Source organism: Homo sapiens, chromosome 5, assembly GCF_000001405.40.
Source record: "Homo sapiens chromosome 5, GRCh38.p14 Primary Assembly".
Taxonomy (NCBI): domain Eukaryota; kingdom Metazoa; phylum Chordata; class Mammalia; order Primates; family Hominidae; genus Homo; species Homo sapiens.
Window position 1 is genome coordinate 73,598,728 of NC_000005.10, and position 4,040 is coordinate 73,602,767.

General features: G+C 36.8%; 1 annotated feature.

The window, feature by feature from the left end:
* Positions 764-957: a silencer, noted in NCBI's record as "fragment chr5:72895316-72895509 (GRCh37/hg19 assembly coordinates)". NCBI's record gives its function as "represses an EF-1alpha promoter that drives an FKBP-Casp9 reporter gene in an ReSE screen in K562 erythroleukemia cells {active_cell/tissue: K562}" and the evidence as "EXISTENCE:reporter gene assay evidence [ECO:0000049][PMID:32094911]".

The following is a 4,040-nucleotide window of genomic DNA, read 5'->3' on the forward strand; positions in this document are numbered from 1 at the left end:
GAATGAGTTTGGAACTAACAGACAGGTTAAAGTTGAAGATCTGTATTTGGGAGTTGTCAAAGCCATAAGATCAGAGTAGATCACCTAGGGAAAGAATGATCTCTGGGAATTTCCAGTAGTGAGAAGTCAAAGAAAGGAGTCAGTGGCTGGATGACTTTTTTTTTTTTTTTTTTCTCGGAGACAGAGTCTCGCTGTGTCACCCAGGCTGGAGTGCAGTGGTGTGATCTTGGCTCACTGCAACTTCTGCCTCCTGGGTTCAGGCGATTCTCCTGCCTCAGCCTCCCGAGTAGCTGGGATTAAAGGCGCCAGCCACCACGCCTGGCTATTTTTTGTATTTTTTAGTAGAGACGGGGTTTTGCCATGTTGGCCAGGCTGGTCTTGAACTCTGGATGTCAAGTGATACACCTGCCTCTATCTCCCAAAGTGCTGGGATTACAGGTGTGAGCCACCGCGCCTGGTCGACTGTTCTTAACACTAATCTATCATACATTTCAAAATAGCTAGAATAATTTGAATGTTCTTAGCGTAAAGAAAAGATAAATATTTAAGGTGATGGATATTCCAATTATCCTTATTTGATATTTACGCATTATATGAATGTATCATATTATCACCTATACCCTGAAAATATGTATGTCAATTATGTATTAATTTTAAAAAAGTAATAGTAAACTTTAATCACCTGCGGAAAAAAAAAGAAGAAAGAAGGAGTCAGTGGTCAACTGTGTCTAACATTGTTGAGAGCTGATAAGACAGGAAGAAATTATCAGGCCAAAATATACATAAATACTGAAACCTACAGAGGTAAAGAGAGCACTGGAGCCACTTTTACCTGGAACTTATTTGCCGATCTCAGCAAACTTGGACTTCAGTTTTGATGGTCTCATGGGGTAAAGGAGACAAATGCCCAGGGCTGGAGGAGGGTCGGTAGCCTAATGGGGAGCTTTATCAATAAGAGTGTATCTCCACTGGGCTACAGTCTCAGGGAAAGGATTAACTGGAAGTAAACCCACTCTGTGCCCTAACCCCTGACCTCCAGAATACTATGAAGTTTTTTGTTTGTTTGTTTGTTTGTTTGTTTGTTTGTTTGAGATGGAGTCTCACTCTGTCACCCAGGCTGGAGTGCAGTGGCACGATCTTGGCTCACTGCAACCTCCGCATCCCAGGTTCAAGTGAGTCTCCTGCCTCAGCCTCCCCCGAGTAGCTGGGATTACAGGCATGCACCACCACACCCAGCCAATTTTTGTATTTTTGGTAGAACAGGATTTCACCATGTTGGCCAGGCTGGTCTTGAACTCATGACCTCAGGTGATCTGCCCGCCTCAGCCTCCCAAAGTACTGGGATTACAGGCATGAGCCACCGAGCCTGACCAGAATTTTTTCTTAACTCACAGCATAGTAAGAGAATTTACAAACATCCCCGAGAGTTGTAATGATAATGCTCCTTTCTTGCAGATTTGCAGCACAAACTTGCATTATCTGGATAGTCTTAAAAGACCTTCACCACCCCTCTTCTTCAAAGCCCCCCAGACATAAGCCATAAATATTATTTAAAGCTGTTTGGCCTACTAACACCCCCAGACACTTGGAAGAAGCAAATGAAATGGGTAACAGTACCCTTAATCCTGGCCTCAGAGAATACCCACATAGTATGTGACTTTTCCAGATTAGTGTCTTTCACTTAGCAATATGTACTTAAGTTTTCTCCAGTGTTTTCATGGCTTGGTAGTTCATTTTTAAAAACTGCTAAATAATATTCCATTGTATGGATGCACCACAGTTTATTTATTCAACGATTGAAGGACATCTTGGTTGCTCCCAAGTTTTGGTAATTATGAATGAAGCTGTTATAAACATTTGTGTGCAGGATTTTTGTGGGCTTAAGTCTTCAACTCATTTGGATAAACATCAAGGAGCATGTTTGCTGAATCATATGGTAAAGGTATGTTTAGTTTTGTATAAAACTGCCAAACTGTCTTCCAAAGTGGAAGCATTTTGCATTCCCATCAACAACAAATGAGAGTTCTTGTTTCTTATTGTTGAGTTCTTTGTACATCTTAGGTACCAGTCTTTTATCAGATATTTGTTTTGGAAAGATTTTCTCCCAGTCAATAAGTTAACTTTTCATTCCTCTCCCAGTGTTTTTCACAGAACAGAAGTTTTTAATTTTAATGAAGTTCAACTTACTAATTTTTTCTTTCATGAAGTGTGCTTTTTGTGTTATATCTTAAAAAGATTTCCAAGCCCTGGGTTATCTAGATTTTCTCCTGTGTTTTTACCTACAAATTTTAAGTTTTGTACTTTACATTTAGGCCTATGATCCATTTTAAGTAAAATTTTGTGATAGGTATCAAGTCTGTGTCTAGATTTTTTTTTAACATGTGGATGTCCAGTGCAGTTGTTTCAACACCATTACACCATTTTTTAAAAAGACCATTCTTTCTTCATTGAATTGCCTTTGATCCTTTGTCAAAGATCAGATAATTATATTTGTGTGGGTTTATTTCTGAGTTTTCTATTCTGTTCCACTGATTTATTTGTCTGTCCTTTTGCCAATATGACACTGTCTTAATTATTGAAGCATTATATTAAGTCTTGAAGTAAGTAGTATTAGTCCTTCAACTTTGTTCTTCTCCTTCAATATTATGGTGGCTATTTTGAGTTTTTTGTTTTGACATAGGAACTTTAGAATAAGTTTGTCAATATACACAAAATGGGATTTTGATTGGAATTGCATTGACTCTATAGATTAAGTTGGAAAAAACTGACATCTTGACAATATTGAATCTTCCTTTCCATGTACATGGAATATCTCCATTTCTTTGGATTTTTAAATTTTCTGTCATCAGTTTCATAATTTCCTTCATATAGGTTTTACACATTTTTGGTAGATTTATACATATGTGTTTCATTTTTTGGTGCTAATGTCAATGGTATTGGTTCTTAATTTTAAATTTCAATTGCTAATTGCTGGTGTATAAAAGGCAGTTGACAGTTGTATATTAACTTTGTATCCTGCAAGCTTGCCATTATTGCTTATTAGTTCCAGGTGTTTGTTGTTGTTGATTCTTTGGGATTTTCTACATAGACAGTTGTGTCATCTTCAAACAAAGACAATTTTATTTCTTTCTTCCCCATCTCCACACTTTTAATTTCCTTTTCTTGTCTTATTGCATTAGCTAGAACTCCCAATGTTATGTTGAATAGGAGTCATAAGAGTAGACATTCTTGCCTTGTTCTTGATATTAGCAGAAAAAGATTATACATCACGACCAAGTGGAGTCTATCCCAAGAGAATGTAAAGTTGCTAGTGTAGGAAAATACAATTGACTTTTATATGGATCTTGTAACCTGCAATCTTGCTAAACTTGCTTATTAGTTCTAATAGTTTTCTAGGTAATTCCTTAGGATTTTCTCTATATAAGAGGATGCCAATTCAAAATACAGATAGTTTTGCTTCTTCCTTTATAATTCAAATGTATTTTATTTCTTTTTTTTGGCCTAATTGCTCTGGGTAGAACTCCCAGCACAATGTTTAATAGAAATGGCAAGAACAGACATCTTTGTTTTGTGCCTGATGTTGGGGGAAAAGCTTTTGTCTTTCACCATTAAGTATAATGTTAGCTTTGGGTTTTTCATTCATGTTGTATATCGGGTTGAAGGAGTTGCCTTCTACTCCTAGTTTGTTGAGTGTTTTTATAATAAAAGGATGTTGGATTTTGTCAAATGCTTTTTCTGCTTCTATAAAGATAATCATGTGGTATTAGCCCTTTATTTTATTAATGTAGTATATTATATTGATTGCTTAATGTTGAACCAACCTTACATTCCTGGGATACATCCCACTTGGTCATAGTATATAATCCTTTGGATATGTTGCTGGATATGGTTTGCTAGTATTTAGCTGAGGATTTTGCATCTATATTCATAAGGGAGATTGGTCTGTACTTTTCTTGTGATGCCTTTGTTGGCTTTTGGCTTCAGGATAATACTGGGTTCATTGACTGAGTTGGGAAATTTTACTTATTTGAATCAGTTTT